Source organism: Homo sapiens, chromosome 6 (genome assembly GCF_000001405.40).
Source record: "Homo sapiens chromosome 6, GRCh38.p14 Primary Assembly".
Classification (NCBI taxonomy): domain Eukaryota; kingdom Metazoa; phylum Chordata; class Mammalia; order Primates; family Hominidae; genus Homo; species Homo sapiens.
The window spans coordinates 157,025,165-157,041,273 of record NC_000006.12 but is presented as its reverse complement, the minus strand read 5'-3'; the positions used below and the strand labels follow the sequence as shown (position 1 = coordinate 157,041,273).

At 37.7% G+C, this 16,109-nt stretch overlaps 1 protein-coding gene across 38 annotated transcripts in view; it reads right to left on the bottom strand.

Moving 5' to 3' along the window:
• The window catches only part of ARID1B (AT-rich interaction domain 1B), a 434,754-nt gene that overhangs the window by 169,506 nt on the left and 249,139 nt on the right, over window positions 1-16,109 (bottom strand). For 17 of the 38 annotated variants that reach the window (XM_011535984.3, XM_017011105.3, XM_017011104.2 and 14 more), the window contains one exon: window positions 4,398-4,439. The exons of 17 other annotated variants lie outside the window; for them this stretch is intronic. In XM_011535984.3, the coding sequence (XP_011534286.3) occupies window positions 4,398-4,439 (42 nt within the window). Of the gene's footprint in view, window positions 1-4,397; window positions 4,440-4,752; window positions 4,848-14,926; window positions 15,116-16,109 lie in introns of those variants that run through there. 4 more of the 38 variants (NM_001363725.2, NM_001438488.1, XM_047419153.1 and 1 more) reach the window with 3 other exon arrangements.

The following is a 16,109-nucleotide window of genomic DNA, read 5'->3' as shown; positions in this document are numbered from 1 at the left end:
ATCCCATTATCAACAGCAGCTTTAGTTAGTTCATTAATGATATACAAGGCACGGTTATCCTATAAAAAGAACCAACCCATGTTGGTGGCTGCTGGGACTTCTGATTTATTTTTCTATAGAATTATAAACTTTATAATATATTCAAATCATGATCAAAGCTGAAAATAAGAATAGTGGTCTACAGTTTCAGAACTTTACTAACAAAGGCATATATTCACCCATTTTTTATTTTGAAGCACCTCTTCTATTCACCTCAAATTCTTGTTTATAAGTAGATATAATTTAAAAATAATTATCTTAATTAGACCTGTATAGAAACAAACTCAAGAAAATAAAAGTTACTTAAATTCAGAGGAAAAAACTAAAACCACGGGAAAACAGCGGAAGTGCTTATTGTCTACTATACTGTGAAACAGCTTCAGCATTTCAAATTCTAAGTTACCTTTAAATGAGATAAGCCTAACAAAACAATGAATCTCTATTTGTGCAAAATTAAGATGTAAGAAGTAGAACATAGATATTTGCCATTTGACTAGAGTAAAAAGTTACTCTCAGATCAACCTTGCTAGTCATGATAGTTTTGCGAGACTGCACACTTGTTTCCCTGGGTTGTAGTTTCGCCACATGTACATACAAAAATAAGTTGTTTTCATTTCTGGGTCCCAGTGTATTTAACTCATTTTCCAGTAAGACTGACAAATTTGTGCTAAGTCAATATTAAGCTTGTAAATTTAATTTCGCTTAAGAGAAGGCAAAGCATACAAGTATAAAGAATTAGTAGGAAAAAAAGTACAGAAAGATAAAGGATCATTAAAGATCATCACTAAAAGGAGCGGCGACATACACAGGACACACACTCCAGCAGGCTCAGAAATGTTCTGTGCATTTGCCAAGAGGGTGCCATGTGTTACCACAGTGACTTAGACACTTGAGTTACCTTTCCCAGTGCTTACAAAAACAGGAAGAAACACCAATTGTGAATGCGTTTAAAAACCTAACGCTGAATACCTAGACCTTTATGAAATAAGGTAATTCTGGCCGAGCACAGTGGCTTGCGCCTGTAATCCCAGCACTTTGGGAGGCCGAGGCGGGCAGATCACAAGGTCAAGAGATCGAGACCATCCTGGCCAACATGGTGAAACCCCGTCTCTACTAAGAATTCAAAAATTAGTGGCACGCGCCTGTAGTCCCAGCTACTCAGGAGGCTGAGGCAGGAGAATTGCTTGAACCTGGAAGGCAGAGGTTGCAGTGAGCTGAAATCGCACCACTGAACTCTAGCCTGGCGACAAAGCGAGACTCCGTCTTGGAAAGAAAAAAAAAGAAGACAGAAAAAAGAAAGAAAGAAAGAAAAGAAAGAAGGAAGGAAGGAAGGAAGGAAGGAAGGAAGGAAGAGAAAAGAAAGAGAAAGAGAGAGAAAGAGAGAGAAAGAGAGAGAAAGAAAGAGAGAAAGAGAGAAAAAGAAAGAAAGAGAAAGAAAGAAGGAAGGAAGGAAGGAAGGTAGGTAGGTAGGAAGGTAGGAAGGAAGGAAGGGAGGGAGGGAGGGAAAGAAAGAAAGGAAGGAAAGAAAGGAAAGAAAGAAGGAAGGAAGGAAGGAAGGAAGGAAGGAAGGAAGGAAGGAAGGAAGGAAAGAAGGAAGGAAGGAAGGAAGGAAGGAAGGTAGGTAGCTTTTGGAATTCAAAAATATACTTGCCGACTTCCAGATAATGAAGCAGTAAAAAGAAATGTCCCATCCTGGGTAACAAGGTGAAACCCCGTCTCTACTAAAAATACAAAAAATTAGCCGGGCGCGGTGGCGGGCGCCTGTAGTCCCAGCTACTCGGGAGGCTGAGGCAGGAGAATGGCGTGAACCCGGGAAGCGGAGCTTGCAGTGAGCCGAGATTGCGCCACTGCAGTCCGCAGTCCGGCCTGGGCGACAGAGCGAGACTCCGTCTCAAAAAAAAAAAAAAAAAAAGAAATGTCAAATTTCCCATTTTTAATTATATGTATAAACACTTCAGTATAGATCAGCAAAAGCTAAAAGCATCTATTACTGTGAAAGTCACTGGATTGTTGAAAAAAATTTTCACTGTTGTTTCAACTTATTAAATTTAAGGCTATGAGGTCAGGAGCAGTGGCTAACGCCTGTAATGCCAACACTACTCTTTGGGAGGCCAAGACCAGGGATCACTTGAGGCGAGGAGTTCAAGACCAGCCTGGGCAACATAGTTAGACCTGCATTTTTATAAAAAATTAGCCAGGCATGGTGGCACATGGCTGGCGGGAGCATCGCTTGAGCCTGGGACGTTGAGGCTGCAATGAGCCATGATCGCGCCGCTGCACTCCAGCCTGGGCAACAGAGTGAGACCCAGTCTCAAAAAAAAAAAAGTTAAGGCTACAAAAGGAACCTGTTAGGTTGGCCACAGAACAAACACGGAAGCTTCACACAGCAGGGCAGACTATGAGAGCTGCTGGCTACACTAATCTTCTATAACGTTGCTGCATACTCAGTAAGTATGAAGGATTATGAAAATGAGCTCCTAAGAACTGACCCTACAGGTCTATTAAAAATGCAATGAATATTCCACATGTATGCTGGGCATTAAATAAAAAATGAAAAATTCACAAGACAACCATATGTTAAATACTGTAAATAATACTGAATTAGGTTCTATTTAGAATAATTTCTTTTAGTAATTTTTGGCAGATACAGAAACATAAAAAATTTATTAGGGTTATAAACTTGAGTTGTATCAAGTATTTATAAAGTATTAATTTAATTTTCTTCATATATTTATGAATGTAAAATTGTGCTACATTTGTAACCTCAGAAACTTTGCTTTTGGTAGCATTACAGTGTCATCTTACCTGTCATTACTGTACAACTGGTAGACTGTGCTTTTGAAATGTCAAGCATATAGGATAAAAAAATGGTAAAATATATATATGTATATATAAATAATCCAACTTGGTTTCAAGCCAAAGATGTAGCACATGGAGGAGTCACGTGAGGGTCATCACCAATACCTGGTGTTCTGTAATAGTTTCTACCAACCTTCCTATCCTCCCAAACTGACTTCCGAAGTAACTGATGGCACCTACCCTATACTTCTACACCTCTATATGAAAATGAAATCAGAGTTCTCTAATAAGTGTCTCCTAATTTACTCAAAATTTAACAAATTTAAAAATTATCACCAAATATGTACAAAAGGCAAATGCCTCCCAATTTACTCAAAATTTAACAAATTTAAAAATTATCAGGAAATATGTACAAAAGGCAAGTAATTTGATCGACAATTCAGGTCTGGAAGATTATAATTTTTAAAAATCTGTAATTCTTCCTCTTGTGTTCTCTATCTCAGGGTGACACCATATTGTCCCTGGACTCATCTTGAGCTCCTCTTTTCCTACTCTGCATACCCCAGCAGGCACCAGACCCTGCACACTGCGGTTGCCAGTCCTCTGCCCTCTGACACTGCTTCTACTATGCCAGCTCAGGCCTGTGTTCACTTTTACTGGGTCTATTCAACTGCTTTTGACTGGTCTCTGGTTAATCCGTCCTCCAAAAAGTGGCCAAAGTCATCTGTCTAAATTGCAAATCTGACCACTACCTGGCTTAAAATCTTTTAATAGCTTACCATTTTTTATAGGAGAAAGTTATCTTTAACCTCTCCAGTCTCAGATCTTGCCACACAGACAGAAACTTAACTACTTTTAGCTTCCTCAGATATTTTTCATGGTGGCTGTTCTACCCGAAAATAGCTCTCATTTCTCCTGCCCTCCTTTCTTGCCTCAGTATAACCTAAGCCCTCAAAACTCAGCCCAGGGATCCACCTCCTAGAAAGCCTTCCCATTCTCCACTCCACCCGACTCGCAGCCTCTGGCATGTTTCTTGCATGGATACAGCTACCCTGTGGGATGATTTATCTGCTTATAGGCTTAGATCTGTCAGCTGGTCATGAGGTCCTCACGGGAAGGAGCTGGGTTTTCAATCCGGTTGTAACTGGACGGTAGGGGTTCTGTCTGAAGCGGGGACGTTTAATAAATCAATGAATAACACTGGAGCTATGAACTAAATACAGCACTCTGATAACATCTTACATTTCAGTAGCCCCAAACTGGGGCAAAATTTAAGCAAATCTTGTGCTATGCCGAATTGAAATTTAAAAGTCAATTACTGCTAAACGAAACTCTTGTTTTCCTGTATTGTTTCTTTCTACACAACAAAGAAGGTAATGAAAATACTACCACAGTCTAATCTTAATCACAATAAGAGAAATCTTAAACTTGTGAAGATTTTTAAACCTCAGTGTTTTGATTATGATTAAAAAAAAAATAAGTCCCCTCTGTTGAACCTTCAAATCCACCTAGGAGGAACTGACAAAAACCTCCACAATGAACTACACCAGACTACACACCTTGAGTCCAAAGGCTGCATCCTCCGAGGCCAAGACTTCAACCTGAAATCATAAGGAAAAACATAATTTAGGCACTATCAAAAACCTCTTTGAGTCTAGCCACAGAAACCAGACACAGGCATGGCCTAGAATTGAGAGTTCTGAGAAAACTGGCATTCCATTTATGTCAGTTGTCAAGAAAGAGAGATCTGTGAGTATCTTCAAGAGCTGGGCTGAAATCCCAGTCACCGTCTGGGTTTCAGTTCTATAAGACGGCGGGAGCTCCTATCAAATGAATCCATCTGCCATCATGTGGACGTAGTGGTTGAAGTTCCTCAAAAACAATCCAGGGAGTGAGTAGAATCATCCTTCTCACCTAAATCACAACATGTTGCATATGCCTTTTGGTCTTTTACTGACAGACAGTGAGGGGAAGCTGCCCTTTGTAGAGCAATCTCACTATGCATGTGTGCTACCAGTAGATTCTTGTCCTGCTCAGATCAGAGTGGGCAGCGCTGGATCTCTGGAATGTTGCAGAGCAAGAGTTCCTGAAAGCAATACTCTGGAAAAGGCAGGCAGTGTCTAAGCAACAAGTTGTGAAATGATGGCAAAACTTCAAGACTGCCTGTCAGTCTCATGCATAGAAGACAGAGCTCATTAACATGAATTTTAAAAAGCTGCGAGGAACAAAACGTGTATTGATAATTACTGTTTTTTAAACATAATTATTCAGTGTCGTGTGTAAAGCTTTTAACTTTGACTATTGCAAAGTACCAATACACGATGGAAAAGAACAAGGAAAGAAGGCAACAGAACACATCTGAGTATTTTTAAAGAGGAAGACGGGGTGGGTGGGCAATATCAGACTGTAACAGGCTTCACTGTCAGTTTTAAACCTTTTAAAACTAGGCATGTGTGGCAGGTGTTTAAGTAGAAGGCACATAGGCCTATCTAATGTATCCTGCTATAAAACAAAATTGTATTCTTCCCTTGTGGACAGAAAATATAGAAAGGAAGGCCATGACAATAAGACTTTCATCCAGTATGAAAGTTAAAAGGGTCAAAAGAAGAAACAAGGAAGCAAATTGTCTTCTCCAACTGCTTCACTGAAAGCCAGGCTCACTGACCACCCCCTGGCACTGGCAGAGCCTGGTGCGGAAAGCAAAAGAAAGATACTACCATTAGGGATGGAGATGAGCAGCCTCGTTTTCATAGAAAACCATATGTTGCTGATACCAAATATGATTTTAGGCTAAAGACTGAAATGTTGGATCAATTATAGTAGAAAAAATCATTGTAAGTTTCACTGACAGCATTTCTGTTTACATTTTAATTTCCAAGGCTGTTAGATTTAGAAACAAGGCCTTATTATAGACTTTTCATTTAAGAAAAGGAAAAAAGATTACATGTTTGAATTTCCCAAGCCCTGACTTTCACAATGCTAGGTTACTAACCTCAACTATTTTTTAAATTAAAACCTCTAATCAACATTGGAGACTTTAAAGGAAAAACGCGAACAGGAAATATGCTGAATCTTAAATACTGTGAACATCGTATGACATTTGCTTGTGAATTACACATATAGATCATATCTGCATACCTCACCCTTGATGTGCTATTTTTAACACAAATAGAATTATTTTTAAAATATATTACAGTTTAACTTTGCAAGAAAAAATCTTCAGTGAGTTCTGCATATTTTATCATATTATAAAAAGTCAATGTAACAAGAAAATTCAATAGCAAATAGAGCTCTATTTAAAGATAAGGCTTTAATATATTTGACAACTTGAGGTGAGAGCAAATCAAAGCTTTCGTGTGAAATTTAGAACTCTCCCTGTGGCTATTTCAGCAGACAGAGACAGTGACAGACCTTGTGGGTGGGAGGAGGGAGTCAGATCCCACCAGGGCACCCTTCACCCCAGATTCTATCTCCAGGAGGGCTGGGGGAATTGTTTTGAAACTCTTAATATACCTTTAAACGAATTTAATTACAGCAACTCTACAAAAGTATTTATGTTTTGTTCAAAAGCACTATTGTTTACATATATATGTACCCTAGTTCAAGTATCCTTTACATCCTCTATTTCTGTAAGATTTTAATATCAGCAACTACAGAAAATCAGCTGATTTTAAAAACATGAGGTTATCCTCAATTTAATACAAAGGGAATATCAATGTCACACAAGGTTTTCACGCTGAGTCTAAGAGCATTTTTACCTAAGTTGGAAGGAATCCCCCTCTAGTGGGAGCAAAGGAGTATTTCAACTTTCACACTTAATTTCCAGGTAGTAGTCATTAAACTTACCGGCCGAAATCAGCTAAGCTTTTTTGTTCCTTTTGTCATAAATTTGAACAACAATAACAGAAAAGTCAATAACTATATTTCATAAGACAAAACCACCCATCATTCTTATACATAAATTAGAAGTAGATCTGTGTTAATCCGATTAAAACAAGAATATACAACTGAAAAATTTGGGAAATTCTCAATGGAAAGACTGGATACTGTACTGGGAAGACACAGCATTGATGCTAAAATACTAATTCTTTGCCTATAATCTGCATTTATCTGCTCTAATCTCAAAAAGACCATCACTCATTCATAATAAATACTGTGCAGATATTTATTAAATGCAATGTTTTGTGCCTAATGTCATAAGAAAATGAGTTTAGCTTAGGTATAAATATCTAAGTGAAATGTATTTAAGTATCCATTATACAGTCAAAAATAAATTCTAATTCATAAATGAAAAGATAAGATTATTCATTGTGTTATTTTTCTTTTTAACTTTGATGTGGGGAGACTTAAAAATTAGCAGTAAGAAAAAAAAAGTCACAGGTTTAATCAAATGTAAAATTAGGACATAATAGCCAACGTTCTCCTCCTCCACACAGACACTGTAACAAATACAGAGACAAATTTGAATACTCTGATGAGACCCATGTTTCACTTCAATGGGAGAGAGAACTTTTCAAGGGTTCCTGAAGTACAGAGGTGTGAAGGGGCAGGTTTAGGATAACAAAGTAGAAACTTCCTAAAGGCAAAGACAAGGCCCTTTCCATTAACTCACACTTATTTCAAATGTTACAATCAACATTTTATAACACAAGTGCCTAAAAGGATTCCATTTGTAGAGAACCTCTAAGAGCTCTGTGAAAGTTCAGTCTGTAAAGTTCAGCAGCAGCTAAGCCATTTACAGTCCTCACTCTCCTAAAGCACAAAAACCTTCAATTGACATCTCTTTCCCAATTACCCTACGGCCCACCTCCACCAAAAATAACACAAATCACCTTAATTTCCAATCATTCCAGTAAGAAAATTGGGAAAACAAGAATTCCTGAATTTGGAAGTAAAACTGGCCGTACTTTCCTTTCTCTTTCACTTTCAACGTCCTTTTTATGTTCACAATGTAAAGCACTCATTGAAAACAGAGTATACTAATTCTAGCAGCATTATCGTCAAAATAAAGCAATGCCAAAACTATGCTGCAATTTATTTTTTTAAATAGTTCTAAAATCAGTATCACACTGTCACAAAAAGAGGAACTAAAGTGAGAAATAATGCTCATTTATAACAATGTATAATGAACGATACTCATAATTAAAGGAATACAAATAAAGTCATATTGTACTAAAGATTAAACCTTGTAATAATTACAACATATACACAGGTTTGGGTAATTATTCAAATCACAGCCTTGCACTGCTGATGAAAATATATACTGGAATAAAATACAATTGGCAGTATCAATCAAAATGCACATGTATATGATTACGCAAGTATTAACCCCAACAATTCCACTGATCCTAAAGTATAAAAATAAATATTTAAAACGATGTTTACTGGAGTTGTTTGTAACAGTGAAAAGTGAATATAACCAAATTTTCATTGCCAAGGGAGTTTACAGTAAATTACTGTATAGTCGAACATAGAAGACTATGCTTCTGTTACAAAGACAGAGGTAAATCTATGTGTGCAGACAAGAAAAGATTTCCAGGATACTCTATTAAGTAAAAAGAATGGAAAGGGTGTGCACAGTAAGCTACCATCAGTTTTTTTTAAAAAAGGTGGGGGTGAGTCATATACTTGATGTACTTAGAATATTTTTGGAAAGAAATGGAAGAAACACATCAATCTAAGAACTTTTCCCACCAACTACATGTGCTTCTTGTTCAATTAAAAGTAATTAGTTAACAAAATAAGTCAATAATAACATTACCCATTGTTCCATGTCAATTAATAATCATGGAAATGTGAATAAACATCTTATCTTTCAAGGTAGCAAAAATTAAAAATATAGTGGTCCAGGTTTATGTGTACACCTAGGTTTCTCAACATCTATGGTGGGCCTGTAGCTAAGAATGACCCGCCCAGAAAACAATCTTCCATTACATATCAATATCCTCAAACATACTCATGCCCATTTATCCAGCAATCAAGCCGCTAGAAAGAGCTATCTTCAAGTTATAATTTGTGATCTACCATTTATATATTAAGCATGTGTACCACATTATTTAAAATAACATATTAGAAAAAAACGTACAAATATGGGAGATGGTTAAAGTATGGTATATTCACATGATAGAGCATTAATAATCATGAAAAATTCAGGTTTTAAGAGATAGTTTGTAACACGGGAAAATGCTCATAACTGTGTTAATGTAAAGAAATTAAAAACAAAAAATTTGACATTTTAAATATTTGAATGTATCCATTTGTTTTCCCCAAGCTTCTAGAGTTTGTGCCATGCTGGAAAATGTCTTCCTCACTGCAGCATTTTAAAAAATATTCATTTTGGGCCGGGCGTGGTGGCTCACACCTGTAATCCCGGCACTTTGGCAGGCCGAGGCAGGAGGATCACCTGAGGTCAGGAGTTCGAGACCAGCCTGGCCAACATGGTGAAACCCTGTCTCTACTAAAGACACAAAAATTAGCTGAGCGTGGTGGCGCATGCCGGTAGTCCCAGCTACTTGGGAGGCTGAGGCTGAGGCAGGAGAACAGCTAGAACCAGGGAGGCGGAGGTTGCCGTGAGATCGCACCATTGCACTCCATCCAGCCTGGGCAACAGAGTGAGGCACCATCTCAAAAAAAAAAAAAATTTCATTTGTTTTCTTTTAATATATTTGACTTTTTTACATTTAAATATTTGATCAAACTGTAATTTATTGTGAAATAACAAGAGGAGGGGGTGACTCCATTTTAATTTTCCATTTGAATAACTGTGATGAAGAATATTCCTTTATTTTTTCCAGTGATTATAGATATCATACCTTTACCATAATTAAACATTAAAATGATATAGATTTTGCCTCCAATTCCAGGCAAGGATGGGAAAGGCAAAATTACACAAGTGAGCTGTTCTGCCCAAAGGGGAATAAAGGTGAGGAGAGGAGGCTAGTAACAATCAACAAGAAATTGATTAAATTTCCAGTCACAATAATATTTATCTGCAAGGGTATTACCAAGAATTTAGATGCTCTTGGAAAGAATAATTTTTGCCTACATTGGTGTCCAGGGGATAAAAATACTCTCCTTACAATGTTTGCTGTATCTCCCTTGATTGGGCCAACAAGTCCAATACACCAACTACAACCTATTCCATTAATCATACTTTTACCTACATTAAGGAAAAGTAGACACTAATAAATAAACTGCTCTCCAAAACCATGTTCCAGGATTTATGACAATTTAAACTGCAGGAGAAGCATATGGGTTGCAAAGTTTTAATTTTATCAAACAAAGAAGTTGTTCCGTGTTTTTCTTTATTATTATTTTATTAACTTTTTGGGATTTTAATCCATTAAAAACATAGAACTCTTAAGAAAAAAAAAAACCAACCATAAGCCACTGCCAGCATTCCTCTTTTACTTATTAATTCTCCTCGTTCTCCTCATTAGCATGACAGACCACATGACGGCTGAAGGACATGGCTTGCTGAAATCGCTCAGTGCACCGTTAGCCAGCAGTGGAAAGAACACGCACGGTAGCCTCGTGCTGCTGAGTACAGCGGCCGTCCTCTGAATGTATTGGAAATGAACTAAAACCTTGTCTCTATACAGGGACCCAATAAATATTGGTAACAATGAAAAATACATCTATGCAATCAAAAAGCATTTGATAAACTTAGTACTCTAAGACACAATTTCAAGGCGGTGTGATGTTAACATAATTACACTTTTCACCGCAAGTGATATGCTCACATGATCTCCTCCACTAGGATGCTGGTGTGTCTTTCTATTCAAGGCTGTTAAATTTAAAACAAAGTCAGTCAGCACTGTGGTCACACCCTTATTTCCAATTATGTTCTCTAACTCAGTGAGGATACCTCCACAGAGGATTTACAAAGCAATGAGGACACCTGGTATGAACCAATCTTGAACTCTTGGTATCACTCAGAGACAGAGAGACCTTGAAGTGTGCGAAACCAGCCACTACTATGCAATGTGGTGTTATAGCCTCTTCCACCCAAGGTGGAGTCTAATTCTCTACCCCTCAATCTGGACTGGATTTATGATTTACCTGGGTCAAGAGACTGCTGCAGCAGCAATCATGCTGTGCCACTTCCAAGTCTAGGACTCAAGAGGCAATTCTTCTAATCATTCTCTTGAAACACAACCAACCACCACATGAACAAGCCCAGACTAGCTTGATGATAACACATGGTCCTGTTACCACATCGCCTTAGCCAAGAGCCAGTCAAGCCAAGAGCCCGAGAAGCAGAGCCACTTAGCAGGTCAGTAGCTGACTGAAGTAGAAGGAACAAGCCCAGTACAAACCAGAACCACCCAGCTGAGCCCAGCCCAAATCGTCAAACTGTAGAATCATGAGCTACATAAATGGTGGCTGTTCTGAGCACTACTGCAAAAACTAACTGATGCACTGTACAACTTTAAATAAAGGAACTCTAGGTGCCATGGATTTACAGGCAGAGTTCCAGGCAAGAACACCATGACACTAAAGGAAGTTCTGAAAGCATCCACGCAGCCAATTGCTTCTTTCATCTCCACTCCCTCCTTAAAACCTTCGAAGTCTTCCAAGACCGTAAAATTAAGCCGAGCTGCTTACCATGGTCCACAAGAAGCTAAACCACGTGGCTCCCGCCTGCCTTGCAGGTCCTCGGTCCTGCCACCCGCTGCTCTTCACAATGTTCCCGCTGCACTGGCTTGCCTTCTGTTCCTCCAAATGGCCACTGTTCACCTGAGGGCCTTTGCACTGGCTGCTCCCTCCTCCTGAATTACTGTGCTACCAGATCATCCCATGGCCAGTCCTGTCGTACCAATCACTCCTCAAGAGAATCCCTCTCCTTCTTTTGTATAATCACCTGAGATTTTCTTGTTTATTCATTTGTGTATCACCTTTCTCCCTTTACTGAAATGTCAACTTCACAAGAGCAGGCTAGCTCATTCACTGTTGCATGTCTCTTACCTGGAAGAGTGCCAGACACAGAGTAGGAGCTCACTAAATATTTGTTGAATAAATGTATATGAATGAATGCGCTAAAGACTATAACAAAACAATAAAAATATAAATACATGTGTATGAACCCAAATTTGACACAGCTCATTATGACACAGGTGGGGATATAACAAGGTTTAAAATATGCTCTACCTAATATAACTATATAAGTAGAAGTCATATGTGTGGTTGGTGATACATGCTTGCATGCATTACACATGACTGTTACTAAAAATCAAACCAAAAACCAATTTTGCTATATTGAATACATATATATGCATTTGATGCATTTGTCTCTCTAGCCAAGAGTAGACCTTAAATTCCTTAAAAAGGATTAGTTCTTATAAACTGATGGCAATAAAATGAGTATGTATGTTGCTCAAAGATAGATCTTTTCTATCCATCCTGAGTTAAGAGGTAATGACTTCTAGACTTGAATCATACCAATAAATAACTCCAGTTAGACTACAGTAAATATTTTATAAAAATACATACAGTTCGCAATCCTTCCAAACAATTTTAAAAAGTAATTTTGAGCTTTCCAATTTAGGTTGGCTGACCACAACACAGTGGATGGTAAGAATATCTGCCTATGCTACAGGGCATGATTGTAAAGGAGACTGACAGGCCCAAATTCTACAGAAGAATAGCGGCACTCAGAAGGCTTATGTGGTCACAGTACCATACCTTTTCCATAAATAATTTTCTTGAGACAGTGGAATAGTGTAACCCTGTCAGTTACATGATGACATTATTTGTAGATTTGGGGGCATTAAGAACACTATACCTAAGGAAATCACATGTATCAAAGTTCATCATTTCCATACTTCCAGCGTTTATCAAAAAACATGGCTATGAGATCATGAACAATATAGACCAAAATATAGTTATCTATTCATTATTTCATTTGGCCTTTCCAATGCAACACATGTGTATGTATCAAACATTTTGAAAACAGGTAGTACTTTCAATAAAAGCAATGCTTTCCCTTTAGATCTTTATGTAAACTGTATCTTATTAAATTAGAAAACACTAATACTTATTCATTACATTATTATTTCTACATGATTGATTTTTCTGTATAATTCAAATTAATAACTATTTCTTCTTAACACTTTCTATACTTATTCCTAAATTCTAGAAAGTTTGATGAAGGAAAATAAAAATGATGGGTGTCCAGGCAGTGAGGGACTGTTAAAAAACATATGAGCACTAAGTAAGTGGTAGTTAATAAACTTTACAAAAAGTGAGATAATGTTTAGTCATATTCTAAATATTTATCTTGCATTATGTGATATAATTTGGTCATAATTCAATGCCATTTTATTTAAGCAATACTTCCCAATTTACCCAACCATTTACACACACACACACATACACACACAGTTTATGAAGCCAATGTCTTATGCTACAGCTTGGTAAGTTTAGATTCTCCAAAAATGTAATAAATAAACTCTTTTCCTAATTTTGACATTTCATAAAAAGGAAAATCTTACATTTAAAAAATACCTGGATAAATCAACGGAAGTACTAAAAGATAAAAATTGTGGCTAAGGTACTATTTGATCATACTTAAATCCCTCTCCCAGTCCCACCCTGCCATTGAAGTTAGAAAAGGAAGCTGAAAGTTGTTACAAAGTCACTATGTAGAAGACATATTGTGGACACACAGGCTATGGCCATCCCCAAGATAGAGGCATGTAAAACTTAATTATGGTATCAAAGAAAATGAGGTGCAATAAAGATGACTTTATTGATTAGGTGAGAATGAAAAGGTGTTTTAAAAACAAATACATTTTTAGATCAGCAAATGAAACTTCTATTACAGCCAGCAAATGGCTGTTCATACATCTCGATTGTGTGTCACTGGTTTTCTTTCTGCTGCCCTGTTCCCTGTCCAAACGTTCCTGCCCCCAACTCTGTCACTTGGGTCCAAATGTCAAAAAACTAACAGATGACAAAACTTCTTTCTTATCCTAAAATACTTCTACCAAAACAGATGGGGGTTTCAAAACACTGAAATAGTGGTTACGACCAAAGACATTTATCACAGTGCATATTTAAAACCTTTCAAAGTTCAAATTAAATAGTATAGTATTATTTTGATTATCAAATTGGAATGGAAAGACAATTCAATAAAAGAAAGAATGTAAGATTAGGTATACTGAAATTTAACCACAGAGTTTTATCTTTTACCTTAAGATGAATTATTGTGTTAGAGGAAACTTATTTTGAAGAATCTATTTAATTAGGTAAACTAATAAGTTTGAAGCTAAGAAAAAATGACTCTAGGGAAGACAGACAACTATTTTTTTTTATTCTTTTCAGATTTCTCAAAAGTCCTATTTGTCCAAAGAAACTTAACTAAACTGGCTCCCCACCAATCATGTCATCTCCCTTTCTTCTCTCACATAAATTGCTTAATACAGCCTTACCTGCTAAGGGCAATAATAACAAATAACTATGTATGCATTACATGGGAAGGAAACTGAGGCTACCTAATACAGGACACTCTGTAAGAGGTAAATTTAGGAAGAGGAGTTAGAAGTTTTCCAGGTAACTGTCACAATACCACTATTCCACTCTGCTCCCCTTCACCTCTTTAAAAAGTGCATCTTCTAATAGCCAGGCGCAGTGGCACGCATCTGTAATCCTGGCTAATAAAGAGACCGAGGTAGGACAATTGCTCGAGCTCAGGATTTCGAGACCAACTGGGGCAAAATAGTGAGACCCCCCCATCTCAAAAATAAAAAGGGTATTTTAGCACAAAAACAAGTCACAGTGATGATTACAAACACTCCTCTACTCACCTAAGAAATAGGTCTCTGAGGATTCATGAGGCTTAGGTGAGACTGGAAGCAATGAAGACAAACCTGAAAGCTAGACAGCTCTGAGATGAAGACTGGCCCCGAGAAGAAGGCAGGCGCCGCCACTTGTCAGCATACTCCTCTAGACCAAGTGCTCTTGATCTGTTGCTGCTTTATTAAATAAAACTACTTCATATCAAGGGTACATCTTGACATTAAATAATAAAGTCACTTTAAAATACGATTGATATATGATTACAGTGCTCTCCCAAAGAATAAATTACCTGAACATGGAAAAGACGAGTCTTTTGGCTACACCACAGAAAGCAGTATTGTCTGGAAAAAGAAAATATGAGTGATTTGTCTCTTTCCATGATAAAAACATTGGAGTCAAAGGAGAGATCTGATTTTTAAAAATAGGCCTGGCGCAGTGGCTCATGCCTGTAATCCCAGCACTTTGAGGTGGATCGCCTGAGGTCGGGAGTTTGAGACCAGCCTGGCCAACATGGTGAAACTCTGTCTCTACTACAAATACAAAAATTAGCCAGGCATGGTGGCGGGTGCCTGTAATCCCAGCTACTCAGGAGGCTGAGGCAGGACAATCTCTTGAACTCACCAGGCGGAGGCTGCAGTGAGCCGAAATTGTGCCACTGCACGCCAACCTGGGCAACAGGGCGAGACTCCACCTCAAAAAAAAAAAAAAATCTATTCCAGCACAATGTTACAGCCACTTTGGAGAAGAAGCCTGGTAGTTTCTTACAAAGGTAAATGCAGTCTGCTATATGATCCAGCAATCCTCTACTTCTAGGTATTCACCCAAGAGCAATGAAAATATATTAACATGAAAACCTATATGAGAGTGTTTAGGGAGGCTTTCATCATAGTTGACAAAAACTGAAAACAATCCAAATACCCTTCAACTGATGAGTGGATAAACAAAACTATGATCATAGCCAAACAATGGAAAACGACTCACCAATGAAAAGGAATTAACTACTGATACAAACAAGGAAATGGATGACTCTCAAATGCACTGTGCTAAGAAGCCTGACTCAAGAGGCCACCCACTGTATGATTCCATTCATATGACATTCTGGAAAAGGCCAATCTACAGAGAAAGAAAACAGATCTGTGGCAGCCAGGACTTGGGTGTTAACAGAGAGGGACTAACTATAAAGATAGAGGGGAACTTGTTAAGGTAACAAGAATGTTCTACCGTCCTACTAGAATACTGTTCTGCCTTACACATCATTGTTATGCATTTCTCAACATAGTAATCCATCCACAATGCTCAGAAAACTTTCATCTTGTCCAAATATTCAGACATGAATTCAAACAATATCCTATAGTTTCTCATCTTAAAATTCCTTTAGTTTCCACCGTGTAACACATCTTTTTGTTCTGAGAAAGTGTTCTAGAATATAGAGTTAAATTTTACATTTGATAATTTCTAGACATTTCTGCATA